The 20,791-nt window shown below is 35.6% G+C and overlaps 1 long non-coding RNA gene across 1 annotated transcript in view, besides 2 other annotated features; it reads right to left on the bottom strand.

Moving 5' to 3' along the window:
* LINC02008 (long intergenic non-protein coding RNA 2008) overlaps positions 1 to 20,791 on the bottom strand; it is a 477,534-nt gene that overhangs the window by 106,555 nt on the left and 350,188 nt on the right. The window lies entirely within an intron of this gene.
* Positions 18,555 to 19,249: an enhancer, noted in NCBI's record as "NANOG-H3K27ac-H3K4me1 hESC enhancer chr3:82387023-82387717 (GRCh37/hg19 assembly coordinates)". NCBI's record gives its function as "activates a minimal SCP1, AML or CMV promoter by ChIP-STARR-seq in naive and primed H9 embryonic stem cells {active_cell/tissue: H9 hESC(naive and primed)}" and the evidence as "EXISTENCE:reporter gene assay evidence [ECO:0000049][PMID:30033119]".
* Positions 19,250 to 19,944: an enhancer, noted in NCBI's record as "NANOG-H3K27ac-H3K4me1 hESC enhancer chr3:82386328-82387022 (GRCh37/hg19 assembly coordinates)". NCBI's record gives its function as "activates a minimal SCP1, AML or CMV promoter by ChIP-STARR-seq in naive H9 embryonic stem cells {active_cell/tissue: H9 hESC(naive)}" and the evidence as "EXISTENCE:reporter gene assay evidence [ECO:0000049][PMID:30033119]".

Below are 20,791 nucleotides of genomic sequence, written 5' to 3'. Positions count from 1 at the left end.
AACCTGGCTCTGGAGTCTGAGACGGACATTTTCATGCTCATCTTCCCAGTGATTTTGTTTGCTGCTTCTGTGAATTCAGCTAATCCATCAGCAAGTGTGTATTGCACTCCTGCAAATACAGAACTGGGCTAGGCAATGTAGGGAACATAAGAGAAATATCAGGTTTAACCCTGGTCGTTACTTAGTCTATGAAAGTTATCTGAACTGATTCCTTCACATTTCCATCACTTATTTACTCAAGATTGTTTCAGGAATGGCAGAAACTACAAATTTGGAGCTATCAACATCTCCTCCTAAACCTGGAAATCCTAAATTTCCAGTCTTAATATTTCTTAAATATTTCTTAAGTCTTCCTCTTGGGATATCAAATTATATCTAAAGTCATAGAAGTCAGTTGACCAAAAAGGTCGATGATAATCACAAAAACCACGGGAAGCATCCTAAACTAAATATTTATAACTCAGCTCAGCTGGAGCTTTTCTAAGCCTTTCCCCAGCTTCAGCTCTTAAGGAAAATAATTCCCATTCATATGTATAGTGGATAAAGGGCACAACAGCAGAGACTTTTAAAAACCTGTCCATCATTTTATCTTCTTTTTCTAGCACTATGTCAGAGTCTCTGTAAATAACCAATAAATATTTGCTAAACTAAGTATTTGGTTAATTGGTTAAATAAAATATGATATATAATGGATGAAGTAACTCTAGTGATTAGTCATGATGTTCCTGGATATTGGCTGATGACATAAAACCATGTACATGATCGTGGCAGGCAAAATAGTGGGCTCTTAACGATGTCCACATTCTTATCCCTGGGACCTGTGACTTTACATGTCAGAAGAGACTGTGCAGATGTGATTAGGTAAAGTATCTTGAAAATTAATTCTGGATTATCCACATGGGCCCAATGTAATCACAAAGATCCTAATAAGGGAGAAGGGAAGAGGCAAGAGAGTCAGAGAAGGCTACACGCCAAGTAAGCAGGCCTTGGAGGGATGCAGCCATGAGCAAGGAACGAGAGGCCTTTTGAAGAAAACTAATGTAATATTTGCATTAAAAAATTATGCCAAAGATTTTAGTTCAAATTGGCAGAAGGCGCAACTGTATCAGCTTTCTGTTTCCCTCTAAATCTTATTGCAATAAATAAGATTTTAACAAAATGTTACAAATCTATAACAGCAAGGAGCACAGTGTGCATGGCAGGGATGGATCATTAACATGCAAACATGATTAAAATATTTCTGACAGGTTGAAAAACCAAGACATAAATATCAAGAGAAATATCAGAATAAAAGAATCTGCAATCCAGTACAAAAAGATAGGAAGGCAAGGGGAGTGCTGAGAGAATATTTTTCAAAAACCCACAAAAGTAGACAAGTTTTGAGAGTAGAAGTGAGAAGTGGGACAGAAAGCAGGTTGATTATTTAAAGGGTTTTCTATGGGAAAAGTTGCTTGGTCAACTTTTTACCTTCCATTCCTCAACACCACTTATAAATGTCTTCACCCCCTAATGTTTCTCTCAAGGCAAAAACTGGAGGTCTGTTTCTAGAAATTGCATGCCTCAGGAAAATAAAGGTTTCTCAAATGATGTTAGCACTTCAGAATAATTTTATCTCATTTTAGATGTGCATAGGGATGGGGGCAGGAACATGTGTGCTTCTGGTCTCTGCATACATTTACAAAGCATTCCTGCAAGTCTCACAGCTCTCCCACATACCTTTTGCTGTCAGCCAGCCGTATTGTCAAGAGAAACTAGGCCTCATTACATAAGGACAGAGAAAACCCAAGACAGTTACATATATTGATCAACATTCAAACACTATTAAAAATAGTTCTGGCAGATTGAAAATCAAGGTGTACGTACTGAGAAATTAACCCAAATAGAAGAAGCTGTAATCCAAACTAACCATTCATACTTAAAGAGTAATAGAAAACCAAGGTCACCAGATTTTTGAGAAAATATTGCTACTTATAACAGAAAGACTACTAGAGAAGTGATTACATAAATTAAATTTGTATCCTCATAGTTGTTTGATAAGTTATTAAGGCCACAAATTACAAACAAGAAATTTTGCTATAAAACAAAACAACTTGGCCAAGAACACAAAACAAATGTACAAATTTTGAAAACATGGTTTACTATTTTAATGATTGAACGCAGTCATGTCTGAGTGAAAGCAAAGAGAAAAAGAATGTGAAAAAAAATCAAAAATAGAGTTGCTCCAGGAGGCTAATATTCAATGAACAAAAAAAGAAACAGAGAAAATAGAAATGAAGAAACTATCCCTCAAATATCTGAAGAATCATCCAAATTGAACAGGACCACCAAGTTCATGGTAAGGGAATTACAAAAGACTTCCACCTAGAAAGAGCTTCATGAAATATCAGAAAACCAAAAGAAAGAAATCATAAAGCTACTAGATCAACAACAGCAAAAAGGAGATTCAAACCAGTATCCAACATTTCTGTAGTTCATTTAAAAGAAATTTTAAAACAAACTACCAGTCAGACATATCCTTTAGCCACATTTAAATCAGCTTAAGCGTATGCTAGGCAATTGTTATTAATATTCTGCAGCTAAATACCTCTCCATAACACTTGGCCCTGTCTGTCTTCACTTCCTCAAAATCTGCCTCAGTAACAATCTGGTTCGCAACTAGAATGTTGCCTCTTGTTTACCACGTAGCTCTATCCCTCTGGACTTGGCATTTATGTAGGGTTACTCAGCAGGCTTCTGGCTCCCCTCAAGGTCTTTGGCTTAATTTCACACACTGACCTTCCCCACTGTGGATCGCTTCTGAGAGCACATGGCCTCTCCTATCCTGCCAGCCCAATAACCAACCAGAAAATCCTCTACAATGGAGAGAATGGAAAAGCCATGTTTTTGCTTAAAATGACCAACTTCATTTTAGTGTCCATCAGGTGAATGTAACACATTTTTGTTGAAGAGAAGGTTATTATTGTTCTTGTTTTGATTTTAGTTTATTTACCCAGTTATTGAAATGATACACAATTTCTCCTTGTGGTATTTCTGTCAAATTTCTTTCAGTCATCCAAACTTTGCTCACTATATATGTATGTTTCCGAGCCATCTGTAGCTACAATTCACAGCCCATTTATGTCTAGATCAGCAAAACATATTTCAGTAGACATAAGTTGAATGATGATGGATTCAGAAGTGACACTAATGGAAATGCTCAAAATATAAGATTTGCTGCCTGTCGAATAGCTAAAAATTACAGCCATATTGAAAATTAGGTATGCGTACTGCAGGAGGCCAAAAAGCCTTAAAGAGGTTTTTTTTATCCTAAGATAGTTACTATGAAAATGCTACATGCTTTTAAAAATATGATCATTCAAGAACATAGGAAAGAAGCTGATTGTGACAACTATTGTGTGAAATGTTATGTTACCATAGCAGTCACTTCTTACTGTAGGAACGAGGTATTAAGAGACCACTCCAAGAATAGTTCCTGAGTGTACTTGAAGCCTAAAATCAATGTTTACCCATGTTTTTAATAGCATTTTGCTTTCAACATTGATTGAGTTTATTGAAAACTCCCACTGGCCGTTTTTAAGTATCAAGTTAAATTGAAAGTTCTCAATGGTGTTACTGAAACCTACAACTTACAGGCACCCTTGGTTTGTCAGAGAGCCAATGACCCTGACTATCATTTGTTGCTTAAACCTTTGGCAAGCAGCCACGGGATTTCTGAAATTAGCTGCTTTTCTGGCCTGTTTTCACTGAATTAAAAAAAAAGCCTTCATAGAAAGTAATTACAAAGTCTCTACATTAATTCTAGTAATTAAATGTGACTACACCTATCATTATTAGCCTCTGTTCTTTTCTACATTACCAGAAGCAAGAGAGATCAACATAAGGGATCTTATGCTAGCTGGGCATGAATTATTTAAGTCAAATAAATAGACATCAATTTATTCTACTGGAACAACGTGGACAAATTGAAAATTTTTTTGAGTGGCAGGGGGCAGCTCATAATGAAAGTAGAGTTGTGTGACTAGACCAAAGAATCCTAAAATTATGAAGTTCATTTCCTCACTCAAATATTATTTTAAGATAGAACTAGTATTAAAAATAGCAGGAGTTCAGATAATAGCAGAGCTAGATTCTTCTGTCTAAGTTACCTCTACCTTAATTTGGAAAAGAGTATTCTGGAGAATAGGAATGATGAAGTATCTTATCCTTGTTCTCTACATGTGATTTTTATGGCATTTTGACTAATGCCCACAGACTTAAAAACAACTTCCAGCTATTACCCCTTCAGCATAGTATGGACTAAAGTGTGATTTAGAAAAAAATTGTCTTTATATGGCCCTTTCATGATAGTTGTGTATTAAATTAATATCCCCAAATTCCTTGTTTCTTCCTATTGACATCCATTAGTCCATGATGGAGGAACATGAGAAAATTACTTAATATACCCCTTCCTGTCTTGAAACTATTTAAGATTAGAGGATCTCCCATGACATTCTCATAAGGAGACAGTAGGAAGTTAATAATTGCAGTAGATACATGGTTGTTTTCTCTTCAGCACTCGTTGTTACTCCTTATTCTTTACCATAGCACCTAGTTTCTACATGCTATTCCAGGAGGTTAGCCAAACTTTCATCTAGGAATTTAAGCATGTATTTGTGACAATACTAATCATTATAACCTATCCTCTGGCCATAATTATTGCTTCAGAGATGAGAATATAACTAAGCTGATCCAATCAAAGCAAAGCATAAAACTTATAGTCAAATTTCTAACATATATCCTCCTCCAATCAGGATGATGTAGTGGAAAGACGAACTACAACCATTTTATCATAAGACCCATGCCATCTTGACGATGAACTCATGCACCAAGAGAGAAGAATCTTGGGGACTCATAGAGCAATGGAGATGGAGCCAATAGTAAGCCAGCCCTGGACCCTACCACTTTTCTGGACTTCAGTTTTAATAAAATGTGAACTATTATTTAAGCAGTTTGAGTTTATGTTTTCTAAGCAAGAATCTTGACTAACATAGTAATAGAGGGAGATAATAAAGAAATAAGGACATAAAGACATAAACCACCTGTGAGATTAACAATGCATTTTTAAGTCACAAAAAAATGGAGCTTAACAAATATTCTGTGATGCACTGGTTCTCAATCAGAACACCACAGCCACAGTGATGAACTCCAAGCCCTCCATAGTCATATCACATTCCAGTTAATACAAATCATGTATTTTTGTAAAACTATGCATTTTCATTGTTTTGATGCCTGCATTTAAAATATTAGTACTGTACTAGTTTATTATGTGCATAAAGGTGTTAATAGTAGCTTTGAATGACCTTTTGTATTTCTATGGTATTGGTTGTAATATCTCCCATTTCTTTTCTAATTCAGCTTATTTGGATCTCCCCTTTTCTTTTCTTGGTTAATCTCACTAGTGGTCTATAAATTTTATTTATCTTCTCAAAGAACAAGTTTTCCGTTTTATTCATCTTTTGAATTTTTTTTTTGGCTTCAATTTCCTTTATCTCTGATCTTTTGTTTTGTTTTGTTTTGTTTCTGCTGGGTTTGGGTGTGGTTTGTTCTCCTTTCTCTAGCTCCTTGAGGTGTAACCTTAGATTGTCTATTTGTGCTCCTTTAGACTTTTTGATGTGGGCATTTAATGCTGTAAACTTTCCTCTTAGCACCACCTTTGCTCTATCCCAGAGATTTTTACAGGTTGTCACTATTATCATTCAGTTCAAATAAATTTTTAATTTCCATCTTGATTTCATTCTTGACCCAACAATCATGCAGGAGTAGGTTAATTAATTTCCACTCATTTGCATGGTTTTGAAGGTCCTTTTGGAGTTGATTTCCAATTGATTCCACTGTGGTCTGAGAGAGTACTTGCTATAATTTCAATTTTCTTAAATTTGTTGAGACTTGTTTTGTGGACTATCATATGGTCTATCTGGAGAATGTTTTATGTGATGATGAATGTAATGTATATTCTACAGTTGTTGGATAGAATGTTCTGTAAATATATGTTAAGTCCATTTGTTCTAGGGTATAGTTTAATCCATTGTTTCTTTGTTGATCTTCTGTCTTGATGTTCTGTCTACTGCTGCCAGTAGTGTACTGAAGTTTCTCACTATTATTGTGTTGCCATCTATCTCATTCCTTAAGTCTAGTGATACTTGTTTTATAAATTTGGGAGCACCATTGTTAGGTGCATATATATTTAGGATTTTGATATTTTCCTGTTGGACTAGTCCTTTTGTCTTTATATAATGTCTCTCTTTCTCTTTTTAAACTGTTGTTGCTTTAAAGTCTGTTTTGTCTCATATAAGAATAGCTACTCCAGCTCACTTTTGGTGTCCATTTGCATCAAATGTCTTTTTCTACCCCTTTACTTTAAGTTTATGTGATTCTTTATGGGTGACGTGAGTCTCCTGAAGACAGCAGATACGTGGTTGGTGAATTTTTATCCATTCTGCCATTTTGTATCTTTTAGATGGAGCATTTAGGCCATTTACATTCAACATTAGTATTGAAATGTTACTATTCTGTTCATCATACTAGTTGTTGCCTGAATACCTTGTGTTTTTTTTTCCATTGTATTATTGTTTTATAGGCCCTGTGAAATTTATGCTTCAAGGTGGTTTTATTTTTGTGTATTTTGAGGTTTTTTTTTTCAAGATTTAGAACTCCTTTTAGCATCCCTTTAAGTGCTGGCAAATTCTTTCAGCATTTGTTTGTCTGAAAAAGATTTTACTGCTCCTTCACAATCTACACATCTGACAAAGGATTAACTTTCAGATTCTACAAGGAACTCAAACAAATCAGCAAGAAAAAACAAACAGTCCCATCAAAAAGTAGGCTAAGGACATGAAAAGACAATTCTCGAAAGAAGACATACAAATGGCCAACAAACATATGAAAAAATGCTCGACATCATTAATGATCAGGAAAATGCAAATTAAAACCACAATGTGATACCACCTTACTCCTGCAAGAATGACCATAATAAAAAAATAATGGTTGTTGGCATGGATGCAGTGAAAAGGGAACACTTTTACACTGTTGGTGGGAATGTAAACTAGTTTAACCACTATGGAAAACAGTGGGAGATTCCTTAAAGAACTAAAATTAGATCTACCATTTTGTCCAGCAATCCTACTCCTGGGTGTCTACCCAGAGGAAAACAAGTCAATATACAAAAAAGATACCTGCACACATGTTTATATCAGCACAATTTGCAATTGCAAAAATATGGAACCAGCCCAAATGCTCATCAATCAATGAGTGGATAAAGAAAATGTGAGATATAGAAAAAAAAAGAAAATGTGAGATATATACACACACACACACACACACACACACATATAAATATATATACACACACACACATATATATTTACCATGGAATACTAGTCAGCCATAAAAAGGAATGAAATAATGGCATTCACAGCAACCTGGATGGAACTGGAGACCATTATTCTAAGTGAAGTTACTTAGGAATGGAAAAAAAAAAACATTGTATTTTCTCACTTATAAGTGGGAGCTAAGTTATGAGAACGCAAAGGCATAAGAATGATATAATGGACTTTGGGGACTTGGGGGAAAGGGTGGGAGTGGGTGAGGGATAAAAGACTACAGTGTACACTACTCAGGTGAGGGGTACACCAAAATCTCAGAAATTGCCACTAAAGAATTTATTCGTGTAACCAAACACCACCTGTTACCCAAAAACCTATTGAAATGATAAAAAATGCTTAAAAATAAAATAAAATACTAATACTGTAGTAGGCAGATTATATTATACTAAGGTTTAGTCAGTTGTCCTAATCAATAAATTAACTTCAATGTGGGCCAGTTATAATTAAATTTTATAAATCTAAACTCCGGAGTAACTATTAAAAGCACTTCTACTATTCATATCTTAACACAAAGGCTTTCTCCAATAGTATAATAAAATGTTTCAAATGGCAAAATTATGGCTTGTTAATTATTATAATATATATTAGCAATAGAATCTCAGTAAAATTAATAGTATTTAAGATATATAAATTGAAATATTTAAGAATAATTCCTCATCTTTGCATAATCAGAGCACAGAATTCTCAAAAAGCTTGATCTTTAAATGGTCTTGTATCCAGTCATTGGGTTCAGGGATTTCTAATTGTCTGATATCAGCTAAACAGGAAATAGAGGCCTATTTTCAGAATATTAGCATGACTCACTTATATCAGTCTCTCATTCAAGCTGTGGTCAAAGCATCAAAAGTTGAGAGAACTGGGGTTTCATGGTGCTTACAAAATAAGTGGCCTGAACTATTTTATGTCCACTTGTTAATATTTGCTTAATACATTTCTGTATATATAACAAGGTTTGGTCTAAATGTTGGTTTTCTTTCCAACTTTTAGCAAGACATCAGGGATAGAGCTAATCTTAGCCTACTTCAAAATTCTCTGGAGGTTACCATCATCCAACAAAATAACCCAAGTATTGTGCATGACCAAAATGTTTTAGAATCATTTAAAAATGTCCATTGTTAAAGCAGTGTCTCTCAGACTTAACATTGTACTACATGTATTTGAAAATATGGCTTAGAGTGAGACATAATTTGTTTTAGGAAAGAGGTAAGAATTACCATTCTTTCCGAGATGACGTAGAGCTAAACACCTGCTATATTCCAATGGTGACATAAAGCTAAATGGTAACTAAATAAAGAACATTAGGCATGAGATTACATATTTTTTTCTTAAAGCTACTATTAGATTTATTTTAAGTTTATTTTTCAAGTAAAATTTTATTTATATAAATAACATATGTATAATTTTTCCTGGAAAAAATTATTAAAACATTGTACATAAGAATGAACTCACTACAACTATTGCTATTAACCACCATCAATCAAGGTCTCTTTGTTGGCTACTGAATGCTGTGCATCTTCAATTATTGTTTTCTGGGTATTTACAAACACAAGCAGGAATGTGAGCACTCACACATACATCATTGGAAATACACAATATTATTTAAGAGGGAAGAAGAAAAGTTATAGAAATACATTCTTTTTTTACTAAACATTGTCTTAAAGTAATGCACACTATTCTGACCTACTGTTTTTTACCTGTTTTTCATATTGCTTGTTTCTTTGCCTTTTTTTCCTAAATTACAAACAATGCTGCGGTGAATGTCATTATGGCTCCTTCTTGCATTAATATAAGAGTGTTTCTCCTAGCCTAAATTCTAAGAGTTTGAAGTAGAATTGCTAAGTCATAGAGAATGTACATGTAAACCCTTAGTACATTTTACCAAACTGTCCTTCAAGTGTCTTCCAGCATATGAGAGGGCCTGTTTGCATATACTGTTTGCCTTGTCAACACTTGAGGTTTGCTAATCTGATGGATGAAATAAGAATCTCATTAATGCTTTTAGCAATTTACTGGTGACTTGCAAGACTAAAGACTCTTTTATCAGTGTATTAAGTGATTGGAATTTCCTCTTCTATGAATTTCCTGTTCATGTTTTTAGCCCAGAAATGCTTTCATAGATACACATAATCATTGCTACATAGCATTAGCTGATTTCCAACTTGCTTGGTGTATTGACGTTTGTAATCCTTTAATTGTACAGCATGCAGAAAAAGAAAGTCTAGTGGTTTAAAAGTAGACTACAAGAAATTATTATGAATTGCTGCTAAAATTTAATAAATACATACTTATATAGTTTAGCATATCTATTATTTAAAAGGTGTACAACCTCCCTGAAGGAGATATTACGAGAATAAATTACTAACACTTTCTGTCTTTTTAACTTCTTTACTTTATATTCAGATCAACTAAACTTCAAACAGCAAACAAGATTTATGGAAGTCTTACTTTTTAGACAGAACAGCAACTTAATATCTGGATATCAAGAAAGGGAACCTCCATCAAAAAAAAATACCAACAATTTTCAATGGATTTTCTTTTATCAATAAGGCAGCAGCATCAAAATATGGCTACAGAGGGTTAGATGTGACCTATTAAAGTGATTAGAGTGTCACTTAATTCTAGTTTTTCTTTTATGACTGAAACAAATAGTTTTAACTTTCTGGTTCTCTTTGTCCTTATTTGCAAAACAAGAAAATATTTACTAATGCTTCTGTTGTTTTAAGTTATTGTACTGAGGGTGTAAACAAATTAAGTTCAGGAGAAATCGTTTCAGAGTGAAGTAGAAGCACATACTCCCCTCGTTATATTAAAAAGAGCTGAAGACAAATACAAGGAAATATACCTTAGGGGAAAAAATTGAAAGAACATATTTTCTCTTAACTTTATCTTCCCTGAAATTCTGGATAACAATTTTCTCTTTCTTGAAAATTTAGATTTTGAAAATGTAGATTTCAGGTACATTTAGCACATTTTACTCTAACATTGTTTTCAAGCATTTTGTTCTTGAAATTTCTTAGACTATTTCACAAAAGAGACACTGCAATTACTGAAATGTCTCATAGATCAATATAACAGGAATTTAAGTTTGACTTAATTTGAGTTTTTTTTCCAACATCTTTCATGTGTCTCTAGTGCTTCCTTGTCCTTTTATAAACAACTTTCCCTTCCAGCCCCATTGTACTATTTTTACGCTACTGATTCTGTAAGATTTCTGATTATTAGGATGAGTGGTAATGTTGTAATTTAAGTGCATTGATTTATTAATCATGCAACCATTTCTTTTATGATGAGCATCACAGACTATTCAATTTCCAAGGAAATTCACTGTTTTAAACAACATAAATTACAGTGCCACTCTGTGGGTCAATATGCCATGTTGGTATCTCTATAGATTTCCAGAAAAAATGAATGGGGGATTTGTGAAAGCAATTTAAGTTATACCTCTACCACTATGTATTTTGTCTAACTCTCAATAACACATCTAGTTCAAAAGCCTTTGACTATGCCAAGAACTTATAGAACAGCTATGGAAGTTACACAAATAGATTTTGAATTGAACATGGAAAATACAGTAATCCAATAAATTGATTATCCTTTAGTTTAACTTAATTAAGTAGAAAGTTAATACCAGTGGGAAAATTAAATCCTCACTTGTACCATAAATTAATGTCAAATTATTAGGGAAAAATTACAAAAACACAATGATGTCTTTATTCTTCGTTACCAGTAGGCATCCCATAGATGGTCTAAAACATATTATATTAAATTATCACCGGTGATAGTCTTTTATGGAGAAGTTTTGCTTTCTGGAAAAGATGCTTCAGATCTAGGAATGGTGATTCATGAATTCTGGGTATAGACATTACTGGGCAGTAAGGTTTTAGAAGATAATGTATTATCACATCGAAATATCTGGCTGAGGATGTATGGCTAACTTAATATTTTAGAAAAAAAAGTAACATTCTCTAACATTATGTGTAAATTCTTCTTCCCTTAATTTTTTTCTCATGTAGTGCATGACTTTTTTAAAAAGAATAAAAATTGTCATAACTCTCCAAAAAAATACTTTTTTAAAAGTACACAATATTTTATCCTGATGATGATGGCTATGTTTTCTTTCAGGTTGTTTTTACACTTTCAAAATACAGGTTTTAAAAATTATTTTATTTCATTTTATTTTCACAGTAGTCAGTGGAAAAGATAAATGCTAGAAACTAACGTATTTACCAAAATCATTTGTGTTAATCAGAAATAAAAAAAGTATATTATTTTTCAGATGTTCTCCATGATAGACATTAAGTACGATGCTGGTAGCAGCAAATTATATTTTTTCCTTATTCTAAGCTACAAATAGAAAATCTTGATGAATAAATAGATATTTACTTAACTTATAGTCTTGCTGAAATTACAGAGATGTATTATGCTTTTTGTTTCAATTCAGAACGCTGATAACAATTAATGCAAGTAAGTCTACAGTCATGGTAGATCACAAGAAAAGATCAGCAGACAAACACATCCAATTTAAAAATGACATCATAATAATTTTATTTCAGTCAAACAGCTTCATATTTACCTCCTTAAAGGTTGTGTGCATAATATTTTTTAAAATTTCCTATAGGGATTATAATTTTTGGTACAAGTTTTTGAATACTGCTTTTTCCCAAAAAATTTACCCGATATAACAATACAATTATGCATTTTAAAAGCCCATTTCTTTCATGTTTGGGGTGTTCTCAGCCATAAAAACCTCTTGAGTGAGAAAATATAATTCAATCCACAACTTATTATGTCCCAGGAGTCCTATGTTAAGTTGCGAAGAAACAAGGCAATTAGTATGAGCCCAGGTTTAATAGAGCATACCACATAAAAAAGATAGATTTATGAGCAGTTCATGGTACTACAATGTAAGTGTTAATCCAGCACTACAACTGAAGTAGTCATAGAGTCACAGAGAAAGACAGAAATTAATCTCTGAGTGGAAACAATGAAGTTGTTAAGACTTCATAGAAGAGATGCTATTTACACTGGACCTTGAAGGGTGATCCGGCTTTTGTAAGGTGTATAAAGGCTAGGAAGGGTATTCTTGCCAGAGAGAGAAGCATGAATAAACATATATAGGTATATAGGGCATCAGGGTCACAGGTCCCATGGTGAAATTTATAGGAAATGAGATCAGATTGTGAATGGTCATGAATTCATTTGGGCAATTATTTGCCTCACAAGAAATGATATGTTATGTTAAATGATAAACACTGTGGATATCTGATAAAGAGAGGCTGAAAACAAGTATGCTGTTAGGAGCACAATGAAATAATGTGAGCAAGAGATAATATCATCTGGATAAGGACAAGTAGAATTAGAGTGAAAATGAGTCCTTGAAGTTTTTTAGGCATTAATTTGCAGGTGTTAGGATATAACTTCTAGAGAGTGAAGACAAGAAATCAGAAATTGCTTGTGTATATTTACCAGGTTCTTGAGTCGATGAGGAGATGTTACATTAACCAAAATAAGAAATTCAGGAAGAGGAACTTGGGAGAGTGAAAAAAGGAGAATGTATTCATAGTTGAACTTAGTTCCTTGTCAAAGCTATGAATGCATAGGTAGAGATATCCAGTTTTAGTCACAAATATAAATCTGGATGTAACAAAATTATTTGATTGTGAAGGTAGTACTTTTGGAGTCATTGACATGTTGGCAGCAATTGAAAAGGGCTAAAATTAAATATCAATATTTAAGATCGGAAATAGATAAAAAGGCTCAGGTGAAAGCCTGGAGGCTTTACAAAGGCCCCTCTTCCTTTGCAAATGGAGTATTCTCATTGTTGTCTCAACAGTGAGGAACTACTGAAATCTCTGCTTAGTTTTTGAGCCTTCTAATGGCTGCTTTGGAACTGGTTTCCTGCAATCTTGCCCCCAAATATGTAGCATTATATTGAGGATATTGGCCCTTCAGGTTCTGATTGCCCTGCTAGCTTTAAATCTAGTATTTGTGAGATGCGACAAGCTTGAGACTGTTGCTTCTTCTACAGCTTCTCTGTCTCTCACAGTGAATAAACAAATTCCTTGACGGGGAAAGTCTACAGAAAAATTCAGTTTACCACAATACATTTTATCCTTTCTGGAATATCGAACCCTATATTTTTGGCTTATTTTTATCTCTATGTTGACTTCAAGTAGTCATTTTTTAAAACTATAGTACCCAGACTCTATAGTTTGTCACAGTGAGAAAATCTGGTGACAGGATCTCTATCACAGGTAGGTGTGAATTATCTCCGTAGTATCTTGAATGTAGCTCTATTAATGCACTACTTCCATGTGTTCTAATTATTTATATACATTTTTCTCCAATCGGACTTAAGAACAAGGAATTATTATATATTCGTTTCCATTTTTCTTTCCAAAACTTAGTATCTGGCATCAATAAATGATGTTTGAATAGATAACGAGTGTTTACAAACTATGTGAAATTTTCTGAGAGCTATAAGGGAAGGAAATCAACTGTCCCTGAAGTGAAAAAGAAGCTGTCTTTATATCCGCTTTTATGGAATGTGTCTGACTCCCTTGAAACTGACTTTTCCATCATTCTGAACTTCTTGACGGCTCCTACCATTCTAATTAAATTTGTATTGTTACCAGTTGGTAACACTACCACATTGTGGTAACGTTGTTTTGTTACCACATTCCATCAGTATCAAATAATTCTATTTTGCTTTTCTTTATCTCTGTACCACATTCCTTTTCATTCCTCAAAATTTGGTTAAACAGCATCTCCTCAGTAAAGCATTTCTAAATTTCCTCCCTTTTTATGCTACTTTCATAGTTTGCATTTTTACTGATGCACTTATTGTTTATTTATGTATCTGCCTCTTCTGTGGAGATAACTGAATGTGGAGTCTATATCTAAACATTTTCCAAATTCCTTAAATGGGTAATCTCCATGGAGGGCTTCCAGACTGTGTATAAGAGCTTTGCTTGCATCTTCTTCTTTAAACTTCAAACACACGCAACTATGACGTAGGTACTGTTAGTTTCACTTTATTAAAAACACTGAGGTTCAGAGAAATTAGAAAGTAATCAAAATCCACAAATACAGTGCTATGGTGTGCACGTTTATGTGGCCCCAATACCCAATGCAATAGTATTTAGAGGTGAGGTCTTTGGGAGGAAATTAATTCATGAGATTAGAGACCTCATAAGCAGGATTAGTGTCTTTTTGTTGTTGTTAAGAGACAGCATCTCACTATGTTGCCCAGGCTTGTCTCAAGCTCCTGGCCTGAATTGATCCTTCTACTTTGACCTTCCAAAGTGTTGGCATTACAGGCACAAACCACAGTGTCTGGCCAGGTTAGTGCTTTTCCGTCAAGAGGCCAGAGAAAGCTTGTTTGCCCCTTCTACCATGTGAGGACACACTGAGAAGGCATCATCTGTGAATTGGAAGAGCAAGCCCTCACCAGACACCAAATACACTGATACCTTGATCTTGGATTTCTAAGCCCCTAGAACTGTGGGAAATAAATTTCTGTTGTTTATAAGCTACCCACTCTATGGTATTTTGTTGTATTATAGCATCTCAAAGAAACTAACAGATAGTAACACACCACATAGTCTGTATGCTCCCAAAACTTGTGTTTCTAATTTCTATTCTTGTTGTCCATTACGATGTCTAGCATGAAGCAGGCACCCTATAACGCTTGTAAAACATAAAATTACTATCAAATATACTATATTTTTCTGTTATACTACTTTACATTATGTTGCATTACATTGCAATGAGATATAATGTCATGATTATTTTATATTCAAGGTTAACCATTTGTAGGTTAATCACCAAGCAATAAATTAGATTCATCCTCAGTTTTCTTAAACAAAATAATGAAAAGAGAGCAATGAATTATTCATTCAAAAAAAGTCATCCATGTGAAAACTAAAATATTTTAACATGCAAAGCTACATAGACCTGTGGTTTCTTAAAATTATAGAACTTCCAAATATAGGGTATGTGACAGTAAAACTCTTTATTTCAACAATTTGGTAATCTGTGTAAATAAAATTTATAGGCAGACTTCATTTGTACACTGGTAAATGTTTCATTATTGAAATAATTAAAGAGATGACTTCATATGACAATATAGAAATGTAAACAAGAGCCTAGGGCCCCATGTTTTACCAGTGTATTTTGCATGTTGTTGGAGTTTGTATTACATCATATTAGTCATTTGCACTGTGGCCACTGAAGGAACTGTTCATGTTGAAGAATATAAGAATAACTTCTTGAGAAATAATTAAAGCTAGGTAGAGGAAAGACTTCCTTTTCCCGCAGACTGGAATAAGAGTTGTATTATTGCGAGCTTAACAGGAAGAATCAATTCACAGAGTAATAAATTATTATCTTCATGAAAAATCTGCTACATATAATCATGTATTTTGTTTTAAAATGCAACTTAAGTACATAATACAAAGGATAGTGAAGAGCTATGAGATTCCCAGAATCACTTTTTATGCCATTACAATTGTGAATCGCATAAAAAAGGTAATGGTAATACATGGTATTTCAGGACTAGAATTAAAGGACACACAGATATGCATCACAGGATTTGTCTGAGACATGCATTGCTAGGCAATTTAGTCATTGTGGGACTATCATAGAGTGTACTTATATAGCTCTAGATAGTAGAGACTGCTACACACCTAGGCTATTGCTCCCATCCCTGTACAGAATGTTACTGTACTGAATATCTGTAGGCAATTGTAACACAATGGCAAGTATTTGTACATCTAAACATAGAAGTGGTAATGTGTTTCACTATGACCTTATCATACATTGTCAATGTTCACTGCGCAACAGGAATTTTTCACCTCCAATATAATCTTATGGGACCCAAAGTCATATATGAGGTCTGTCATCGACCAAAACATTGTTATACTGTGCATGACTGCACAGTCAATGGAATCACACACACGCACACACACACACATCCTGCAAAACACAACCTTTTGCAACCTATAAGCAGATATTGTGCTTTTTGAAAGCTTATGTGCTCATTTTAGTTCTCTTTTGAACTATTACCTGACACCTGGCACTTAAGCTGTCTCATTCCGTACCTATTTTGTGGGTTTTCAAGTAATTAAGTTTGATAATTCAGAGAACTAACTTACTCAAGTAAATTCTAAAATGCTTTCTAAAATAAATTAGAAATAGTCTGCTTAGTGACCTCATTTTATTTATTTTTATCAATAAATTCATAATCTGACATTAAAAAAACTACAGGTCAACACTGCGATAGCGTTCATACTCTCACATGAGTTGACCCCGGGTTTACTTTCAAAGATGGCTTATTGGGCTGGATGGAACCACTATAACAGTTTGAATGGAAAGATCAAGGAAATACCACGTCTGTAGATTTTCAAAGTGTTTTCACTTCTTTCATTAGTTAGAGTTTATATACATACAACAGGCCACTCTGGTAAGCCAGCCATTATTGTGCATTTCATTAAGGCAGAAGTTGAGGAGAAGGTGGGCATGTATTCTGCAACAATAGAATTATTAATTTAATGTCCATAATTTACTCGTTATCAATTTTTTGTAAAAGATAGCTCACTGATACTGTGTTAGGATATTATCTGTGATAGAGCCTACAAGAAAACAATGAAATATATTTCAATTCTAAAAGAAAAATAGATTTTTCAATTTTTTAATATTTAAATAGTATAAGATGTATTTTCTAAAGCATCAAAGAGATAGACAGAGGTGTCAACATCTTTCTCTCCATGAGTTACTTTGATTTTAATTCCTTAAAATCAGTATTTGCTATAGAACTCTCACTGAATAAGAATCATGAAATAACCAATCAGCTAGTCCTGAAACCACTCCTAGAAAATGTCAGTTTATAATACAAAAGCATTACAATGTTTGCTAAGGAATTATACATACACTTGTCACTTTCCTTCTAGTTCATCCTCCTAGGGGAAGAGAATTCTGGTTTCCTTTAGAAACTTAATTGTATGACATCACTGGCTCCCTTTCCTAAATACCATTACTAAACCAAGGCTAGGAACACATATAAGAGCACCAAAATAAAGAAATAAATCTGGCACAAAAAATATAAAAATCAAAATATCTTTCTTCCTTTGAGCACTACTTTTTCAACTGATGATGGCTGGAGTGATAAAGTTTGAGTGTCTGTGAATACCTCTTAGTAGACCGTTTGTTTGAAAGGTGAAGTAAGACTGGGGTATGATACAAGTTATAATAAAAGCACTTCCTAGTCTCGATGGTCTTTACATTTTGGCATGATTTTGCAGCAGCTGGTACCGGTTGTTCCTTTCCATGTTTAGCGCTTCCTTCAGTAGCTCTTTTAGGGCAGGCCTGGTGGTGACAAAATCTCTCAGCATTTGCTTGTCTGTAAAGTATTTAATGTCTCCTTCACTTATGAAGCTTAGTTTGGCTGGATATGAAATTCTGGGTTGAAAATTCTTTTCTTTAAGAATGTTGAATATTGGCCCCCACTCTCTTCTGGCTTGTAGGGTTTCTGCCGAGAGATCCTCTGTTAGTCTGATGGGCTTCCCTTTGAGGGTAACCCGACCTTTCTCTCTGGCTGCCCTTAACATTTTTTCCTTCATTTCAACTTTGGTGAATCTGACAATTATGTGTCTTGGAGTTGCTCTTCTCGAGGAGTATCTTTGTGGCATTCTCTGTATTTCCTGAATCTGAACGTTGGCCTGCCTTGCTAGATTGGGGAAGTTCTCCTGGATAATATCCTGCAGAGTGTTTTCCAACTTGGTTCCATTCTCCCCATCACTTTCAGGTACACCAATCAGACGTAGATTTGGTCTTTTCACATAGTCCCATATTTCTTGGAGGCTTTGTTCATTTCTTTTTATTCTTTTTTCTCTAAACTTCCCTTCTCGCTTCATTTCATTCATTTCATCTTCCATTGCTGATACCCTTTCTTCCAGTTGATCGCATCGGCTCCTGAGGCTTCTGCATTCTTCACGTAGTTCTCTAGCCTTGGTTTTCAGCTCCATCAGCTCCTTTAAGCACTTCTCTGTATAGGTTATTCTAGTTATACATTCTTCTAAATTTTTTTCAAAGTTTTCAACTTCTTTGCCTTTGGTTTGAATGTCCTCCCGTAGCTCAGAGTAATTTGATCGTCTGAAGCCTTCTTCTCTCAGCTCGTCAAAGTGATTCTCCATCCAGCTTTGTTCCGTTGCTGGTGAGGAACTGCGTTCCTTTGGAGGAGGAGAGGCGCTCTGCGTTTTAGAGTTTCCAGTTTTTCTGTTCTGTTTTTTCCCCATCTTTGTGGTTTTATCTACTTTTGGTCTTTGATGATGGTGATGTACAGATGGGTTTTTGGTGTGGATGTCCTTTCTGTTTGTTAGTTTTCCTTCTAACAGACAGGACCCTCAGCTGCAGGTCTGTTGGAATACCCTGCCTTGTGAGGTGTCAGTGTGCCTCTGCTGCGGGGTGCCTCCCAGTTAGGCTGCTTGGGGGTCAGGGGTCAGGGACCCACTTGAGGAGGCAGTCTGCCGGTTCTCAGATCTCCAGCTGCGTGCTGGGAGAACCACTGCTCTCTTCAAAGCTGTCAGACAGGGACATTTAAGTCTGCAGAGGTTACTGCTGTCTTTTTGTTTGTCTGTGCCCTGCCCCCAGAGGTGGAGCCTACAGTGGCAGGCAGGCCTCCTTGAACTGTGGTGGGCTCCACCCAGTTCGAGCTTCCCGGCTGCTTTGTTTACCTAAGCAAGCCTGGGCAATGGCGGGCGCCCCTCCCCCAGCCTCGCTGCCGCCTTGCAGTTTGATCTCAGACTGCTGTGCTAGCAATCAGCGAGATTCCGTGGGCGTAGGACCCTCCGAGCCAGGTGTAGGATATAGTCTCGTGGTGCGCTGTTTTTTAAGCCGGTCTGAAAAGCGCAATATTCGGGTGGGAGTGACCCGATTTTCCAGGTGCGTCCGTCACCCCTTTCTTTGACTCGGAAAGGGAACTCCCTGACCCCTTGCGCTTCCCAGGTGAGGCAATGCCTCGCCCTGCTTCGGCTCGCGCACGGTGCGCGCACCCACTGGCCTGCGCCCACTGTCTGGCACTCCCTAGTGAGATGAACCCGGTACCTCAGATGGAAATGCAGAAATCACCCATCTTCTGCGTCGCTCACACTGGGAGCTGGAGACCGGAGCTGTTCCTATTTGGCCATCTTGGCTCCTCCCCCGCAGTGTTAATTTTCAAATGCAGGTAATTTTTATTCCCATCTTTACAATGTTTTTCTTCTTCAAATTGCCAATTGAAAGATTTTTTTTTTTACTTTTTTTTTTTTTTTTGAGATGGAGTCTCGCTCTTTGGCCCAGGCTGGAGTGCAGTGGCGCCATCTCGGCAAATGCGGAGAGATTTTGTCACCACCAGGCCTGCCCTAAAAGAGCTCCTGAAGGAAGCGCTAAACATGGAAAGGAACAACCGATACCAGCTGCTGCAAAATCATGCCAGACTGTAAAGACCATCAACACTAGGAAGAAACTGCATCAACTAACGAGCAACATAACCAGCTAACATCATAATGACAGGATCAAATTCACATATTATTAACTTTAAATGTAAATGGACTAAATTCTCCAATTAAAAGACACAGACTGGCAAATTGGATAAAGAGTCAAGACCCATCAGTGTGCTGTATTCAGGAAACCCATCTCACGTGCAGAGACACACATAGGCTCAAAATAAAAGGATGGAGGAAGATCTACCAAGCAAATGGAAAACAAAAAAAGGCAGGGGTTGCATTGTTATACTGTGCATGACTGCACAGTCAATGGAATCACACACACGCACACACACACACACACACCGTGCAAAACACAACCTTTTTCAACAAGAAGATCTATCCTAAATATATATGCATCCAATACAGGAGCACCCAGATTCATAAAACAAGTCCTGTGTGACCTACAAAGAGACTTAGACTCCCACACATTAATAATGGGAGACTTTAACACCCCACTGTCAACATTAGACAGATCAATGAGACAGAAAGTCAACAAGGATACCCAGGAATTGAACTCAGCTCTGCACCAAGCGGACCTAATAGACATCTACAGAACTCTCCACCCCAAATCAACAGAATATACATTTTTTTCAGCACCACACCACACCTATTCCAAAATTGACCACATACTTGGAAGTAAAGCTCTCCACAGCAAATGTAAAAGAACAGAAATTATAACAAACTATCTCTCAGACCACAGTGCAATCAAACTAGAACTCAGGATTAAGAATCTCACTCAAAGCCGCTCAACTACATGGAAACTGAACAACCTGCTCCTGAATGACTACTGGGTACATAACGAAATGAAGGCAGAAATAAAGATGTTCTTTGAAACCAACGAGAACA

Source organism: Homo sapiens, chromosome 3, assembly GCF_000001405.40.
Source record: "Homo sapiens chromosome 3, GRCh38.p14 Primary Assembly".
In the NCBI taxonomy this organism is placed as follows: domain Eukaryota; kingdom Metazoa; phylum Chordata; class Mammalia; order Primates; family Hominidae; genus Homo; species Homo sapiens.
This window is presented reverse-complemented; position numbering and strand designations above follow the sequence as displayed.